Source organism: Homo sapiens, chromosome 15, assembly GCF_000001405.40.
Source record: "Homo sapiens chromosome 15, GRCh38.p14 Primary Assembly".
NCBI classification, from domain to species: domain Eukaryota; kingdom Metazoa; phylum Chordata; class Mammalia; order Primates; family Hominidae; genus Homo; species Homo sapiens.
In genome coordinates, this window is record NC_000015.10 from 99,145,772 (window position 1) to 99,163,716 (window position 17,945).

The 17,945-nt window shown below is 44.6% G+C and overlaps 1 protein-coding gene across 22 annotated transcripts in view, besides 1 other annotated feature; it reads right to left on the minus strand.

The window, feature by feature from the left end:
• The window catches only part of TTC23 (tetratricopeptide repeat domain 23), a 114,903-nt gene that overhangs the window by 9,449 nt on the left and 87,509 nt on the right, over positions 1-17,945 (minus strand). For 17 of the 22 annotated variants that reach the window (NR_109947.3, NM_001288616.3, XM_011521936.2 and 14 more), the window contains 2 exons: positions 15,969-16,096; positions 10,377-10,526 (listed from right to left, as the gene is read on the minus strand). Coding sequence is in view for 20 of the 22 variants with exons in the window: in NM_001288616.3 (NP_001275545.1) it covers positions 10,377-10,526; positions 15,969-16,096 (278 nt within the window). In the remaining 2 variants the exon portion in view is untranslated. Of the gene's footprint in view, positions 1-243; positions 367-2,737; positions 4,450-5,521; positions 5,616-10,376; positions 10,527-15,968; positions 16,097-17,945 lie in introns of those variants that run through there. The other 5 variants (XM_047432959.1, XM_047432958.1, XR_007064487.1 and 2 more) reach the window with 4 other exon arrangements.
• Positions 8,098-8,893: an enhancer, noted in NCBI's record as "OCT4-NANOG hESC enhancer chr15:99694074-99694869 (GRCh37/hg19 assembly coordinates)". NCBI's record gives its function as "activates a minimal SCP1, AML or CMV promoter by ChIP-STARR-seq in primed H9 embryonic stem cells {active_cell/tissue: H9 hESC(primed)}" and the evidence as "EXISTENCE:reporter gene assay evidence [ECO:0000049][PMID:30033119]".

The window sequence follows — 17,945 nt, forward strand, 5'->3', positions numbered from 1 at the left end:
GAGGACTGAGGCACTGGTGGGTGGGTAGGGAGCCTCTCATGAGAGAAACACAGGGAAGGTGGGAAGGGAGATCCTGGGCTTTGCAGGGAAATGGGAGATGAAGGAGAAAGGGGGTGAGGTCCAGCCACTGCCACCCGCACAACTCCTCAGAGCGGACTCTTTCAGAAAGCTCGCCCTGAGTATCTCCTGGGTGCCAGCCCTGGGGGCATGGATGTCATCCTTGCTGTCTCCCTCACTCCTCACCTCCAGGTTGCCAAGTCCCATGGGTTCTAATGTCCTTATCGACATCCCTTGACTCCCCCACGACTTTGTTCCATCCCTTGGCTACTGTACTGGAGCAGGTACCACCATCCTTCTCCACAACGACTGCAATACAAATATTTAGAAAATAAATGCATTGGCAGGACTTGCTATTGAGAGAAATCCTGCTGTGTACCCACATAGAAATTATGGTTTCTTTTTCAAGTGGAGCCGGCTTTTTGTATAAAAGCTGGATCTGCCTATTTCTAAGCCAGCCAAGGCAAGGGATGCAGACTCCTAAAGCTGGGCCTTCTGAGCTGCCTTCTCTTGGCAAATTTCCCTATTACATGCAGCTCAGCGATCTGGTTTAGTCCTTCCCGAGTCTGTGCTATCCACACCAGCCATCCCTGACCATTGGTCTTTCAACTTGTTTAAAGTTACACTAGATTTATGTAATAGGAGCTTTTGCTTTTCCCTCCATCCCTGGCCATGTACCCATAAACTCACTGTTTCCAGCGAAGCTCCGAAAAACCGCTAGAGAGCCTCAGGCCAGGATGGTCTGTCCAGACCCACAGTTCTGCACCTCTCCAGACCTTGTGGGACAATTGATGACCCTCTGAGGCACTGTACACTCACTAAGCCATGGTCAGAGTTCTGATGTTTGAGGAGCTTTTCCACAGCAAATGTAGCCTTGTCAGTGGGCAGTCTGTGTACACTACAAATCAAGTGTTTTTCCAAGGGATAGCAAACATGGAGGGGCACTGTGCCTGGGTGCCATAGCTGGGCGGGCCCAACCTCAGGAGGGTGCCTTTTCCCCACAGCTGATGATGCCAGGGAGGCCTGTGGTCAGGAGAACTGGAATTCTTATTACCACACAGCCTATAGTGGGCAAGGGGGGCTCCACATTCATTCTTGTTTTTTGAGACGGAGTCTCGCTCTGTTTCCCAGGCTGGAGTGCAGCGGTGTGGTCACGGCTCACTGCAACCTCTGCCTCCCAGGTTCAAGCAATTCTCCTGCCTCAGCCTCCCAAGTAGCTGAGATTACAGGCACACGCCACCACACCTGGCTAATTTTTGTATTTTTAGTAGAGATGGGGTTTCACCATGTTGGCCAGTCTAGTCCTGAACTCTTGACAGGTGGTCCACCCACCTCGGCCTCTCAAAGTGTTGGGATTATAGGTGTGAGCCACAGCGCTGGGCCTCCAAATTCATTCCTTTTTTTTTTTTTTTTTTGAGACAGAGTCTCGCTCTGTCACCCAGGCTGGAGTGCAGCGGCGCGATCTCAGCTCACTGCAAGCTCCGCCTCCCAGGTTCACGCCATTCTCCTGCCTCAGCCTCCCGAGTAGCTGGGACTACAGGCGCCCGCCACCACACCCGGCTAATTTTTTGTATTTTTAGTAGAGATGGAGTTTCACTTTGTTAGCCAGGATGGTCTCGATCTCCTGACCTCGTGATCCTCCTGCCTCAGCCTCCCAAAGTGCTGGGATTACAGGCGTGAGCCACCGCGCCCAGCCTCCAAATTCATTCTTAACCAAAATAAGAATGAATGACCATGACCCCTTTAACAATTGGCTCTCATTCTCATATAAACTGATTTACAAACATCTTCAAGTCACGAGTGCTTGAAGAGTCTTTAAGCACACTTCTCAACCCAAGAACAAGACTTTTTATATGCAATTAATGTCATTATGACCCTCTCTTTAAAAAAGGTGGGCTGTTGCAGTCCAACAATGGGTTAGTCAAAGATGATTATAAAAATCAGGATCAAGGACAAATGAGGCTCTACACATGAAAACAATGTGGCGTGGCGTGGTGGCTCTGTGGGAACTCCAAATTTGGCTTGGAATTCCTGGTATATGCAGGACAACAAGGAAAACACCAAATATGCTAAAGGGAAAGTAAAACAAAGGGGGCCACTGATGGAATTACAGGGAACGGATTCTAACATAAGGTATGGCCTTCCCTAGGAAGGCTGTGTGTATTGGCCTGCTTGGAGGAATGGCTGGAATATAGCAGGGACTCAATAGCCTATTCTCCAGTCTTGACTTATGACCACATAAGACCTTCCTAGGCCGGGCATGGTGGCTCATGCCTGTAAGCCTAGCACTTTGGGAGGCCGAGGCAGGTGGATCATGAGGTCAGGAGTTTGAGACCAGCCTGGCCAGCATGGTGAAACCCCATCTCAACTAAAAATACACAAGTTAGCCAGGCATGGTGGCACATGCCTGTAGTCCAAACTACTCAGGAGGCTGAGGCAGGGGAATCGCTTGAACCCGGGAGGTGGAGGTTGCAGTGAGCCGAGATCGCGACACTGCACTCCAGCCTGGGTGACAGAGTGAGACTCTGTACCAAAAAAAAAAAAAAAAAAAAAAAAAAAGACCTTCTTAGCGTTGGCTTTCTTGCCTACAGCCTCTGAATAAAAACTACGTTCCAACTCCTTTCATAAAAAGATTCATTTTAGTGGGCTTTGAGTTTTTGAAGAAAGGGGTCACATACAATTTTTTGTGTGTGGAAATGTTTAATGCCCACAGCTAAAGTAGTGAGGCAGTGGACTGAACCCTGCTGAAGATAGTACCTAATACGGAGGCCAGATGATGACTGGACCCAAATCCGACTTCAGTGTTCTTGGGCTCAGTATACTCCTGAGATGTTCCTGATCCATGAAGCCGCCTTCAGGAATTCTTTCTGCAGCCTTTCACCTGAGGAAAACGTTGGTGACGATGACCATTCTAGAATACAATCAGGTTTCTATGTTGTACAAGTAGGTGAACTTTTGCTGTGGAAATTTCCACCTGGAGCCAAGAGAATTCTGTGATTTTCCCCTGCAGGCAGATGCCTTTAAAAGGCAGATCAATAATACGGTTTCCTTTTCGGTGATTTAATCCTGCTGTGTGTGTGCCTTGTTTCCCAGGCCTTCCTGTTTTTTGTTTTTCAGGCCTGTGGGTCCATGCCTGGACCATTCAGTGCAGGAGGGTACATCTGGAAAAGCCACTGTTCAGTGGGTTCCTGCTGCTGAGTTGAAAACTTAGGGGAGGCAGCTGCTGCTGTGATAAACACGAGAGCCACCGTCGCCGGGTGGTGCTTAGCTCTAGGAACTGCTGGCTTCACAGAGCTGAATGCTAAATATGGCATTTGAGAAACTCCAGTCAGCAGCAGATGTGAAAAGCATGTTTCAAGTCCCCATTTGTGCCCTGGTATTCACAGAGCAGTCAGCCTGTCCTCACATAGGTACATGTGGAGGAGTGGAGATCAGAACTGCACGCACCACAGTGCACAACCTTCAGAAATACGAGTGCCCATCATTTCTCTTGGAGCCTGGCAAACAGGTGTCTTTAAGATGCCAATGCCATTGTTTTCAGGACTGATGGTAAACAAGGCCAAACCAAAGGAAAAAGGGGTCACCAGCTTCTACCACAGGCTTTGGGGTGATGCACCCTTAGAGTTTCTTGAAGCCGAGCTGATTTTTAGCCTCTAGGGTGGCAGTGTGGCCCAGAGCAGTGATTCTCAGCCTCCGCCTGGGAAACTGGCCAACATGCAGAACCCTGGGCACCTGGCCCCTGCCCCAGAGACTCTGGTTCAGAAGGTGACCCTGATGCAGGGGCTTAAGATGCACACTTGGTGAGCCACTGGCATAGAGTAAAGAGTCGGGCCTTATATAAGAACAACCTGCCCACAGACCACTGGCTTACTTCTGGGAGCCTCAGGCCCCTTCTCTGTTTAACAGAGCTATGCAGGTCTGACCTGCGGAGTTGCTGTGAAGATGAGGAATGATGTATGAGCCACACCTGGCAGCAGTGAGTGTACGGTGGGGCACATGGTACCAGTTCAGTCCCACTGGGAGCCAGCAGTGACAGTGTGAAGGTCTGTGTGGTCCTGTTCAGCCCTGCTCAAGTTTCTGTGTATCTCTCTTATCATTTGCCACCCCCCTCTATTCTGAGGTCCTTCCCCTGCCTGGGGTGCAGTGGCTGGGCTGAACCCTAGGAAGAGTTTTTCCAGATGTCATCTACCTTCTTCATGGGATAAGTGAGGAGGGGGAAGGAAAGCAGGTATTCCCAGTGGCAGGCAATGCCTTGGCTCTGCGTTTTCCTCTCTCCTGCAGAGGTGCTGATGGTTGGAAAAGCTTCCCAGCGGCCTGCAAGGCCTGCACGTAGGCAGTCTCCAGTGCTCATTAGAACAGCCTCACTCAGTTCATCTCATTCGATCCCTAAAACTGTGGGATGGAAGGAGGACAAAGAAAACTGAGTCCTCTTGTCTCCATTCTTGGTCCACTCCATTCCATCCTCAACACTATCCTCATAGTGATTTAAAAAAAAATTCCAAAGGACAACTCTAGACCCGTTGTGCCCTGCTTATTAGCATTCCCTCCAAGCTCCCAGCTGCTTAGAGCAAGGCTCAAAAAATTTTCTGCAAAGGGCCATATGGTAAATATTGTAGACGTAATAGTCCAAGAGACAAAGTTGAGGCTACTAGGTAGGTGCAGCACTTATATAACAAGAGAGAAGACAAATTTCCACAAATTTCTTCTGATGAAATTCAAGATACAATAATAAGCACATTTTTTGGGGCAATATAGTTCTATATAGTTCTACTAACAAGAAAAATAGATTCATTTTGGGGGGAGGATAACCTTTCACTTACTTGAAGTTCAAAGTTAGTGTTCCCTATCATCAAATGGGTTGCAAATGATCATGTGTAAAAAACGTTTAACTTGAGGGCCACACAAAAGCAGGTGGAGGGCTGCATTTGGCCTGTGGGCCATAGTTTGGGACCCTTGCTTAAAGGATCAGGTCTCAGCCCCTTCACCTGGCAAACCTGGTCTTAGGCATTTGCCCTGCACCTCTCCCACCAGCAACCCTACAGCCAGCCAGCTCCAACTGCTTTTTGTTCCTTAGATGTACTTTGCTGTCTTGCCTCTGAGCGTCCTTCTTCCAACCCACCAGCCTGGGAATTCCTGTTTCTCTTAGCCTATACTGTTTTTTTTTCAGGGCTACTTATCTGGACACTTTCCCTAAATCTCTTCACTCCCGTAGATCCCAGTATGGACCTGCCGCATGGAACTGAGCACTTGGGAGGTTACCGTCTGTAACTCCCTCATTGGTCTGGGACATTTTTAAGGGAAGGGGCTACTTCATTCCTGTTGTATTCATTGCACATGTGCCAAAAACAGGGAGGGATGCTGGCAACCCTGTCCCAGGTCTTCTGACTATAGGATAGTGTTTCCTGTGCCACCTCCACCCCAGGCCACCCAGTTACCTTGGAAGCACCATGTTTTTATAGCTTACCACTCTCCTGGCCTTGGCTGACTGAGCCAGGGGTGGGCCCTGGATTCAAGCCAGGCCCGTCAGTCTTTCCCTGAGGTCTTTGAGGTCTTTCAAGCTGAGAAAAGAAAAGGCACAGGGACAGAAAGTAAAACTCTGGAGTGTTGCCAGCCTTGATCTTCACCTTGAGGGAAGACATTGCCATGAGAGATGAGGAAGATGTGCAGAGAGGAGCAAGGAGAAGTCCTGGACAGAGAGCGCCCTCCTGGCATGAGAGTCTAGCTGAGGCTCAGCTGCATCCTGCCGGCGAATCACTGGCTGTTGGCCCTTATTTGGAAACCACAAGACAATAGATGCCCCTTTATACCTGAGCTAGTTTCAACTGTATTCTGTCAGTGACAACCCAAAGACTCCTACTGTCCCAATCTTGGCATTCTCCCCACTGTGCCATTCGCTTCCAAACATTTTTTAAGCTCAGGGACCCCTTGTTCAAAAACAAGTCTTGGAATTCCACGATGTGAAATAGATGGCCCTGTAGTATACACTGTGCGATGCCGACCACCTGGCCAACATGGCGAAACCATCTCTACTAAAAATACAAAATATCTCCACTCCAACAACTCTGAGCCACGAGATCAAGGCCAAGACACGTCTCTCTCAGCCTCAGTTTCCCTCTTTATAAAATACAGAGTACAGGTACCCAAGTGATATAGTTTGTATATTTGTCCCCACCCCAATCTCATGTTGAATTATAATCCCCAATATTGGAGGTGGGGCCTGGTGGGAGGTGACTGGATCCTACAGGTGGGGATTTCTCATGAATGTTTAAGCACTATCCTCTTAGTGCTGTCCTCACGATAGTGAGTGAGTTCTCATGAGATCTGGCTGTTTAAAAGTATGTGGCACTTCCCCATTCTCTCTTGCTCCTGCTTTCCCCATGCGACGTGCCTTCTCCCACTTTGCCTTCTGCCGTAAGTAAAAGCTCCCTGAGGCCTTCCCAGAAGCTGAGCAGATACCAGCATCATGCTTGCACAGCCTGCAGAATCGTAATCCAATTAAACCTCTTTTCTTTATAAATTACTCCATCTCAAGTATTTCTTTTTCTTTTTTTCTTTTTCTTTTGAGATGGAGTCTTTCTTGCTCTGTGCCCCAGGCTGGAGTGCAGTGGCATGATCTCGGCTCACTGCAACCTCTGCCTCCCGAGTTCAAGCGACTCTCCTGCCTCAGCCTCCCCACATAGCTGAGATTACAGGTATGCGCCAGCAGCTAATTTTTGTATTTTTAGTAGAGACGGGGTTTCGCCATGTTGGCCAGGCTGGTCTCTAACTCCTGACCTCAGGTGATCTGCCCAGCTCAGCCTCCAAAGTGCTGGGATTACAGGCATGAACCACCACGCCTGGCCTCAGGTATTTCTTTATAGCAATGCAAGAATGGCCTAATACACCACCTCTTAGGGTTACTGTAGGGGTTAAATGAGTTAATATACACGAATCACTTAACATGGTGCCACCGGTGTAACAACCACTCAAAAAGCACTGGATCTTTTTTTTACAGGGTCTCACTTTGTCACTCAGGGTGGAGTGCAGTGGCATGATCTCAGCTCTCTACAACCTCTGCCTCCTAGGTTCAAGCGATCCTCCCACCTCAGCCTCCTGAGTAGCTGGGATTACAGGCGTGTGCCACCATGCCCAGCTAATTATTTGTATTTTTAGTAGAGACAGGGTTTCGCTGTGTTGGCCAAGCTGGTCTCGAACTCCTGGTCTCAAGTGGTCTGCCTTCCTTGGCCTCCCAAAGTTCTAGGATTACAGGCATGAGCCACCGTGCCTGGCCAGCACTGGCTCTTACTATATGGAGGTGACACATGGGCAAACGCAGGGAACCTGCCACCCTCAGCTTCCGTCTCACCTCTCCCTCACTAAAATGTCTTTGGCATATGGGTAATGTTTAAATTATTAAAAATGATTGATTTAATATATTTCTTCCTGGCTAGACTGGGAACTCACAAAGACAAGGTTCATATTTGTCTTGGTCACAGTTTTCCCCCAGGTCTGGCTAGCACATGACTGGCCTATTGAAGGTGCCAAGTAACTATTTACTACCTAACTGATAGCAGATACGTGTCATCTCATTAACAAAGAGGTGTCACACGTGTTACCAAATCTACTGTCTTTTGCAGCAGAATCAGAAAAATCATAAGAGAAAAATACTCGATTTATAGGATAGCCCCTCAGAACTAGTTAATTCTTTTGGTTTGATTAATTATGTTACTTACTTAGGGTTTCCCAGGTTTTCCCCATTTTGAAACTAATTAATGTAATGAAAACATATGATGTAACTTATGAGATACATTTAGAACAATAAGAGAAAATTTCATATTCATAAACAGATTAATAAAATGAAAACAAATGAATTAAATTCCCAACTCATAAACACAGAAAAAAATTTCAACAGAGCAAAACAAAATAAGGTACAAGGACAGAAATAATAAAGATAAAATCAGAAATTAAGGAAGTAGAGAATAGGATTTATGGGATTAAAGTCCTGGCTCTTTGAAAAAATTAACACAATAGACAAACTAAGTCAAGGAAAAAGAGAGAAAACCCAAATATAAAACTAAGAAATTATAATGGGAAGATAACTGTTAAAAAGTAGAAAGATTTAAAATTCACGAGACCACTTTTCAAATCTCCATGCAAATAAATCTGAAAATATAAGTGAAATGGATAATTATCTAGAAAAATACGGTTTGCCAAAATGACCCCATTAGGGACAGAAAGCTTCAACAGATCACTTTTTGTAAAAGAAATAGAGAAAATTGTCAAGGAATTTCCCTACAAAAGAAGCAGCAGGTCTAAAGGATGTCACAGAAGACATAAACCTCCAAAGAATGCGGAGTTTCAATGCTGCATAAATTCTTTCAGTGCATGAAAGATAAGGTGAACTTCCAAATTATTTTTATAAGCAAATATAACATTGATCCTTAAACAAATAATACATACAAATATTGGCACAAAAATCCTAAAATAAATGTTAGCATACAGAATCAACATCTGCTATGGTTTGAATGTGCCTCCCAAAAAGCATGTGTTGGAAACTTAATCCAAAATGCAACACCGTTGAGAGATGCAGCCTAATGAGAGTGGATTAGGCCATGAGGACTCTGCCCTCATGCATAGATTAATGCTGTTATCTTGGGAGTGGTTTGGTTATGAAAGGCTGAGTTTGGCCTCCTTTTCTCTCTCTCATTTCCTTTTGCTTTCTGCCAAGGGATGATGCAGCAGGAAGGCCCCTGCCAAATGCCAGTCCCTGGATCTTGGACTTCCCAGGCTCCAGAATTAAAATAAATAAATTTATTTTCTTTATAAATTACCTAATCTCCGGTAGTGTGAAATAAGTTTATTTATTGTGATTTATTTAAATGATCTAAGAAGAACCATCTGATAATCTCCACTGATGCTGAAAAAGCCTTTGGTAAAATTCCACATTTAGTTCTAATTAAAAAAGCACTCACGGTAATAGAAATTGATGGATACTTTCTTAACATGATAAAATATATAAACCTTAGTTCTAAAACCAGCATCTATTAAATAAAGAATCACTAGAGGCATTTACACTAAGATCAGGAACATGGCAAGGATGCCCATTATCTCCACTACTGTTTATTATTATATTGGAGGTATAAGTCAATGCAGTTAGACAAAAGAAATAAATTGGAGGCATAAGAACTGGAAAGCATAAAGTAAAACTAAGTGTATTTGCAGATAATGTAATAGAATACCCCCAAAACCTGGGAGACTCAATGATTGAATTAACTCAAGCAATGAAAGAATTAAGCAATTAGCAGGATATAAAATTTACACAGAGAAACCAACTGGGTTCATATATTAAAAAAATCAAAAGATATAACAGTAGATAAATCTCCATTTATAATAGTAATAACGAAGATCAAATGGTTAGAATTAAACTTAATAAGAAATATACAAAACCTATATGAAGAACGCTTTTGGATGTGCCTGAAAGATACAAAAGTAGGAATGAAGAAATGGAAAGATATCCCTTGTTCTTGGATAGAAAAACTCAATATCACAAAGTTGTCAATTCTCACAAGATTTATTTATAAATAATGCAATAAAAATACTAGTAAGCTCTTTATGGAGTTAGACAAATTGATACAAAAATTCATGTAGAAAAATAAACACGGAAGAATAGCTAGAACACCTGATATTCTAGTAAAAGAAAAGCCATAAGGGGTGTCTACTCCTATCACATATTAAATCATTCTATAAAATCTCTGTAATTAAAACTGAAATATTGACACATGAATAAACAGAAAGACTAGTGGAAGAGAAGAGAAATCTAGAAATAGACTTAAGTCCATAAGGAAAATCAGTATATGATGAAGGTGTTATCTGAAGTCACTGGAGCATAGATGGGCTCTCTAATTAAATGGTGCTGGACAACTGGGTGGCCATTTGGAAAAAAGGTAAGATTAGATCCATTCCTCATGCCATCCACACAAATAAACTCCAAATTTAAAGAAGAATGACAATTGAAGAAAGTGTAAGAGAATTCCTCTATAAACTCAGTATAGAGAGAGCACCGCAAACATAAAGGACTGATCAATTGTACTACGTAAAAAATTAAAAATATTTGCATAGTAAAAACTGATAATTCATTTAAAAAATATGTATGTCTAAGAGGCTTACTATGTCTTTTACCCAAAAAGTATCAGGTTAGATCTACCACAAAAGTGATGTCATCCTATCTAAACAAGCCACTTCTAAAGTTTCATTTAAAAGAACCACCACAAGGGAGAGAAATTGACCTTGGAGAGGGGAGGGAGAGCCTAGTCTCGTGTTAGTACTGGTTCCAGCTTTACCTTCTTCAGTTTCTTGCGGGCCCCACTGTGGTTCCCCTGCGCCAGGTCTGCTCCTCCCAGGAGCCGGTATGTCTCTGCCACCTCGGGACTGAAATCGCCAAATGCTTCCACTTTGGCTTCCAGGGACTCTCTCAGGATCGAGGTTGCTCTCTGTGAAAGGAACAAAAAGCTATCTGGTTAACAAGCTCAAAGGCTGATTAGGATCATTACGCAACTTGTAACATTTTCACATGGGTGTGGTAGTCTCACGAGCTGAGCCTGTTCTCCTCTTGTATTAGTCCATTCTCATGCTGCTATGAAGAGATACCTGAGACTGGGTAATTTATAAAGCCAAGAAGTTTAATTGACTCACAGTTCCACATGGGTGGGGAGGCCTCAGAAAACTTACAATCATGGCAGAGGGCACCTCTTTCATAGGGCAGCAGGAGAGATAAGTGCTGAGCAAAGGGGGCAAAGCCCCTTATAAAACCATCAGATCTTGTGAGAATTCAGTCACTATCGCAAGAACGGCATGGGGGTAACCGCACCCATGGTTCAATCACCTCCCACAGGGTCCCTACCATGACACATGGGTATTATAGGAACTATAATTCAAGACGAGATTTGGGTGGGGACACAGCCAAATCATATCACCTCTGGTTGAACAAGAGTCAGGAAACAACACGAATGTGAGGAAAGGTGTAAACTATGAAGAGAGAGGACACCTGGCAAAATAAACCCACTCAGCCATTACAGGAATCCATTTCAGTTGAGTAGTAAGAACAAAAGCTGACATGGATCAGTCCTCACATGTCACTAATTGTGCTGAACACACACAATTGTGTGGGTCTCATTTAATTTTTGCTGTCTTCTTTAGATGGGTAAAATTTTAATCCTCATTAGGCAGAGGAGGAAACAGGCACGGCAGTTAAGAAACTTGCTCAGAGTCAGAGGGCTCAGCTGTGGTGGTGCTAGGATCTGAATCCAGCCAGTGATCTTCATACCTTTTTTTTTTTTTTTTTTTAAATCCGTCTCACCGTCTCAGCAGATCTTCCATTTTACAACAGCAGGTGGAAATCTGGAGGTTTTTTTTTTTTTTTTTTTAGACAGAGTCTCTCTTTGTCTACCAGCCTGGAGTGCAGTGGCATGATCTCAGCTCTCTGCAACCTCTGCCTCCCAGGTTCAAGCGATTCTCCTGCCTCATCCTCCCAAGTAGCTGGGATTGCAGGCGCCCACCACCATACCCAGCTAATTTTTGTATTTTTAGTAGAGACAGGGTTTCACCATGTTGGCCAGACTGGTCTTGAACTCCTGACCTCAAGTGATCCACCCACCTTGGCATCCCAAAGTGCTGGGATTACAGGCGCGAGCCACAATGCCCAGTCTAATTTTCATACATTTTAGTCCCATGCTTTTCTCCCTCTGTCCACAATGCTATTCTTACAGAAGTGAAAATATAGCATTCCTGGGCAAATTATCTATGTATAGAACATCCTGAACACACTCCAGGCTTGGCTATTCTCATAGGAAATCGTTTAGGAAACTGAAAGTAAACATTCCAACATGACATGACATTTTGTTTGGTTTATCCAATTTATTTATACTAACATGGAATAAAAATTATGAATTGGTCAGGACATAGTATTTCCTGATATTAGCTTCTTCAGACACCAAAATATGCAGGGGGAAACCCTGTTAAAGTATGTCAATCCTCCATACTTTCTCCAGAAATTCTTCCACGATCTTCCACATGAAGGCACGACATCAGCTGCAGAGCATGGATGCTGAATTTAACTGGCAAATACAGCAGGGACCATGGGAGCTTCCTCATGACACAGCCCCAAAGGGGTCCCAAAAGTGCTCCACAAACAGAAGGACAAGGAGGGCGTTTAATCCTTTTGTTGGCAATAATACAAGTTAGGGGATAGGGCCGGGGTAGGGGAACCACATTACAGGTGCTGATGAGGCAGAAATAAATTTCTCAGGTGAAAGAGGAATCTCTGTAGAGGCAGAGTGATTGTGTAACTCAGCAGTGAGGCCCCACTGAGGTACATGAGGGACTAGAATTTAAATCTAGACTTGCCTGAGGGTAAAGCCCATCACATCTCCCAAGTTCTGAGAGCAAGGACTTGGACTGCTGAGAGTGCTGGGTTTGGTGATATTTCTGTGGGAAAATATCACTGTCAGACTTAGAGGAGCCAGTGATGGGGAGAAGACCCGGGGAGACTCCCTTTCCCAGATAAAGCTTTGGATGCCGCCTACAGCCTGACTGCGGAAACGGGGAGATGTGAAGGAAGTTAAATGGCACGGGTTTCTAGGAAACTGAGATAGTATCAACCTCTGCTAGGAAAAGCTTAAGAGAGAGGAGTGAAGAGTAAAGAGGACTTAGGTGGGATGAGAAGAGGGTATGGGCCACTGGGAGCACAGGAGGAACACATGGCCTGTTGAGGGCCAGTGAGTGGCCAGGCTGAGGAAGTCACAGAAGATTCTTGAGCAAAAGAGTGGCACAACTAGAAGACAAACCCTCACGGAGTAGCTTAACCTGTGGCAGAGTGACCTTCACTTACATTTTACCTTAAAAGGCATTTCATCCCTCAAATATCATGTTCCACAGTGCCCATGGCCATGTGCTGTGGGAACACCTGGGATGGCCTGAGCACAGCCCCATTCTTGGCTCCGGGACTGTCCCTGGGCCCGGCCCTTGTTGGCCAACACCTGCTAGAACCCACAGTGAGAGGTTTGCAACCAAATGGTGAGAACAGCATGAGACTGCCATGTTTGGCTGGGCAGGTGGTGCCACACACAAGGGTGCCTGGCAGGAGCATGGGGAGGGCTGAAATCCAGCCTATGGTCCTCTCCAACATGGGCGGTATCTACCTGAGGAAGGGGCAGCTTTTTCTATTATGATAAGGGCATTGGATGGGCTGGCAGTGGCCCTAGAATGAAAAGAGCCAGTTTGCTAAAATCTTCGAGGGCAGCTTAGGAGAGTGAGGTGCATCTTTTGATCAACACTGATCTGGGTGACTTGGGCAAGGGCAGTGAGGCATAGCATCAGTGACACTGAGCATTGGCTGACTCAGCAAGACACTATGGTGGGAAGCCAGGCAGTACAGGGGAACTGATGCATGGCCCACAGGAGTCAGAACAGTCAGCTGGCCTGTGGCCAAACATGCATCCACCTCTCTGCTCATCACTCCTCACCACAGGCAAGAGGGTCTCTGCTTTCACAGGTTCGGTCTAGTTGCAAGATAGATGTTAAATATCCACATGAATATATACTTACAAATATTTGATGACATCAAATGGATTCTCTAAGGAAGAATAATGGGGAGTATCTAATGAAGCCTGGGGAGAGGAATCAGAGAAGCTGGTAAGAAATGAAGAATGGGTTAGCATTGGCCTGGAGATGAATGAGGAAGGGCCTTCCAGGAGGAGGAAACAGAAGCTGGCACTGCCCGGAAGTGGGAATTAGAAAAGGCCAGTGTGGCAGGAACATGGATCAGGGAGAGGAGGCAAAAATGAGCCTGGAAATGTCAGTGGAGTCCAGGTCGTGGACGGTACTGTGGGCCATGTCAGGATTCTGGTTTATCCTGAGGGCATCGGGGAGCCAGTGGACTGGCTTTTACAAGTGAGTGTTCAGTGGTCAGATCTGCTTTTTGGAAACATCACCATGGCTTCCTTATTCTGAGTGGATTAGAAGAGGGCAAGCATGGAAAAAGCAGCTGAGAGATAGGAACTTGTTAGAGCGGTCCAGGCAAGAGATGATGAGTGGCAGGACTAAAGATGGAAAACAATGGATGCATTCAAGATCTATTTTGGAGGAAAAAATGGCTGAGGAACTAGATGGAGTGGGGCATGAGGGGGCAAACCTACCCCATTATTCTGACCTGAGCACTCCCCTTGTCTTCTAGAGATGTGAGGGGGGAATGGGGAGGGAGTCTGAGGCCCCTGGAAGGCCCCTCTCTCTCCCTGGGGTTGGGTGACTGAGAAACATCCTGAAACTCCAATTTGTCCTGGTGATTGTGGCCCTACTTTGGCCTGAGAAACATAGGTATATCGGCATAAAAGCCCGTGTTCCCTAGCTGACAGAAGGCGGGGGTGGAGGGGGGATTAAGGATGAGAAAAGAGCTGTGGGGGAGGAGGTCTACAGACGGTAAGGGAAATAAAGTTTTTCATTTCCAAGATTTGCCATGATAGGTTAGAGTTGAAAAAAATACATAGTCAGCCCTCCATATCCATAGATCAAAAATTATATGGGAAAAAACAATAAAAATAACAATACAACAATAAAAACAATACAAATAAAAAATACAGTGTAACAACTACTACCATAGCATTTACATTGTATTAGGTATTATAAGCAATCTAGAGATGATATAAAGTATTCAGGAGGCTTTGTCTAGGTTATATACAAATGTGACACCATTTTGTACAAGGGCTTGAGCATCCTTGGAGTTTGATATCCTTGGGGGCTCTGGAACCAATCCCCCACAGATACTGAGGAACAACTATATATATATGTGTGTGAGTGTGTATATATGTATGTATGTATGGTTTTCTAGGAAATTGAGATGGCGTTAACCTCTGATAAGAAAAGCTTAACAGAGGCCGGGCGCAGTGGCTCACGCCTGTAATCCCAGCACTTTGGGAGGCTGAGGCGGGCGGATCACGGGGTCAGGAGTTCAAGATCAGCCTAGCCAAATGGTGAAACCCCAACTCTACTAAAAATACAAAAAAATTAGCTGGGCATGGTGGCGGGGGCCTGTAATCCCAGCTACTCGGGGGGCTGAGGCAGAAAATTGCTTGAACCCAGGAGGCGGAGGTTGCAGTGAGCTGAGATTGCACCACTGCACTCCAGCTTGGGTGACAGAGCAAGACTCTGTCTCAAAAAAAAAAAAAAAAAAACTTAACGGAGAGGAGTGAAAAGTAAACAGGACTTAGGTGCGCTGAGAAGAGGGTGTGGGCATACATGCACACATACATATATACATATATATGCACACACATATATATAATTGTTCCTATCTGTGGGCGATTGTATATATATATATGTATTAATATGTACACACACACACATATATAAAAACATAAAGCAATGGTATGTTAGGCTTTGCAGGGAATGCATTCCCAAGGGTTTAATTCCCAATGAATATAAGGTCTGGGTCTTGCTCTATTTTCATAAGCCACGTAAATCACGCTTGTACGAATCAATACTAAACAACTGAGCTGTAACTTCTGCACCGTATAGTTTTCCTTAGACATGCAAACTCCATTCATTACCCAAACTGAGGAGAGAGGGATTAGACACACTAACTGCCACACTATTCCAGCCAGATCTGCAGGACTTCAATAAGCAGGGCCTGTCCACTATTTCTTTAGGATCTTTTGTAGGTGGGCATGACAATCTATATTCTCATAAAGTCTCCCAGCTTCTAAGAGCAAGTATCTCTGGAAGCTGCCCCAAAGGAGCCCTAGCCTTATTTATGTGTCCCTCTAGAGACTGGCACATGCTTTGCACACAGTAGATGCTTAATGGATGCTTGCAGAGTAAAGGAGTTGCCCTTTGGATATCAACTGTGAATAACTAGACAATTGTGATCCAAACTCACTTACCTCTTTTTGTCCAGTCATTTGTAGAAAATGGCAAAATTCATCTTGAATTGAAAGAAATTTGGTTCTTCCCATCCCTTCAGAATCCTTAAGATGAGCCATGCTCTCTTGAAAATACTGCTCAGCTACATCTGAAGAAAAGCATTTATCATAACTTTGAAAACTGCTCACAGATTTGAAATGGAAACAGAATAAATATACTGTTAGCAGTGTTGAGCTATTTGGAAAGAGGTATTGGGACAAGAAAAAACAGTTAAGACTGTCCTTTGCCCATTAATCTGCCTGTTTCATTAGAAAGGATTTAGGTCTTGAAGGATACCGTAATTTACTTTCTTTAATTTTCATACATCTAGCTTTCCCGGTGATACATAAAGAAAAGTTACTGCAAAAGAAGAAACTATGCCCCACATCTGAACACACTGGTAAGTTTTCAGGTTGATCAACCACTAATTCTTCCTATAACTTTAGTTATAGGGTAACTATGACTTTACTGAGGGTAGGACTCTGAAAGTTCACTTATTTTGATGGATTTGGAGTATAATCTTGGTACATATTTCTAAAACATGAAAAATCTGGAAAATATTGCTGACATGCCGCTGAGGGAAGAAATCATTCAAAACCCCAATCATTCCAAATACTTCAACATACTGGTTATAATATAACACAAATATTTTTAAATGCATGCCAATCTTGAATGCAAGAAAAAGAAAACCTCAGGTATGGAAAATGACGAGAGAACTAAAAGCCAGAGAAGTGAGCGGGAGCTGAGGTTGAATGGCCCGTAAGCATATTAGAAAAAAGGTCCATCTACTAGTACTGGGGTTTTCTAAGCCTGAGCAGGACTAGGGATGAAGCCTGAGGCTCATTTGTGGTGGAAAGCTGAATAGGACTCCCTGCAAAAAGCTGGTGTGGCCGGCAGAATTCTAAGGTGACCCGTGGCCCTTGCCCTTGTGTAGTCCCTCCCCTGTGGTTATGGATGGAACTTGTGAGTATGAAGATATAGTTCTCCTGAGATGAGCTTATGTTATAGGGTACAGCTGACTTGAAGAAAACGAGATTATGGCCGGGGGTGGTGGCTCACACTTGTAATCCCAGCACTTTGGGAGGCCAAGGTGGGAGGATCGCTTGAGCCTGGAAGTTCAAGACCAGCTTGGTCAACATGGCGAAACAAAAAATAAACAATACCAAAAAAAAAAATTAGCCAGATGTGATGATGTGCACCTGTTGTCCCAGCTACTTGGGAGGCTGAAGTGGGAGGACTGTTTGAGCCCAGGAGGTTGAGGCTTCAGTGAGCTGTGATCATACCACTGTATTCCAGCCTGGGTAACAGAGCCAAGACCCTGTCTCAAAAAACAAACAAACAAACAAACAAAAACAACAACAACAACAAAAAACAAAACCAGAAAGATTATCCCCTGGGCCAGACTTAATCACAGGAGCCCTTTAAAAGCAGAGTTTTCTCTGGCTGGTAGCAGAAAAGGAAGTCATATTTATGGAAAGCATGACAGAGATTTGATGAGAAGGATTTTGCCTGCTGCTGAGATGGAGAGGGATATAGTGGAAGGACCTGAGCAAGAGCAGCCTACGGGAGCTGAGAGGGGTCACTGGCCACCAGCTCTCCAGAAAACAGGGACTTCAGTCCTACAGCTGCAAGGAACTGAACTGTGCTCATAACAGGAACGAACTTCAGAAAGCACCCCAACCTCCAGTTGAGAGTGGAGCTGGCCAACAATGCAATTTCAGTCTGAGCAGAGAAGCACGCCTTACCACACCAGACTTCTAACCTACAGAACTGCAAGGTAATAAATGGGTGAGTAAACAAATTTGTTACGCAGGAAATAAAATGAATACAGCCAGTGCTATAGTCTGAATATTTATGTCCCCCTCAAATTCATGTGTTGAAATCTAACCCCCATGGTGATGATAGTCAGAGGCAGGGCCTTTCAGAGGTAATTAAGTCATGAGGATGGCACCCTCATG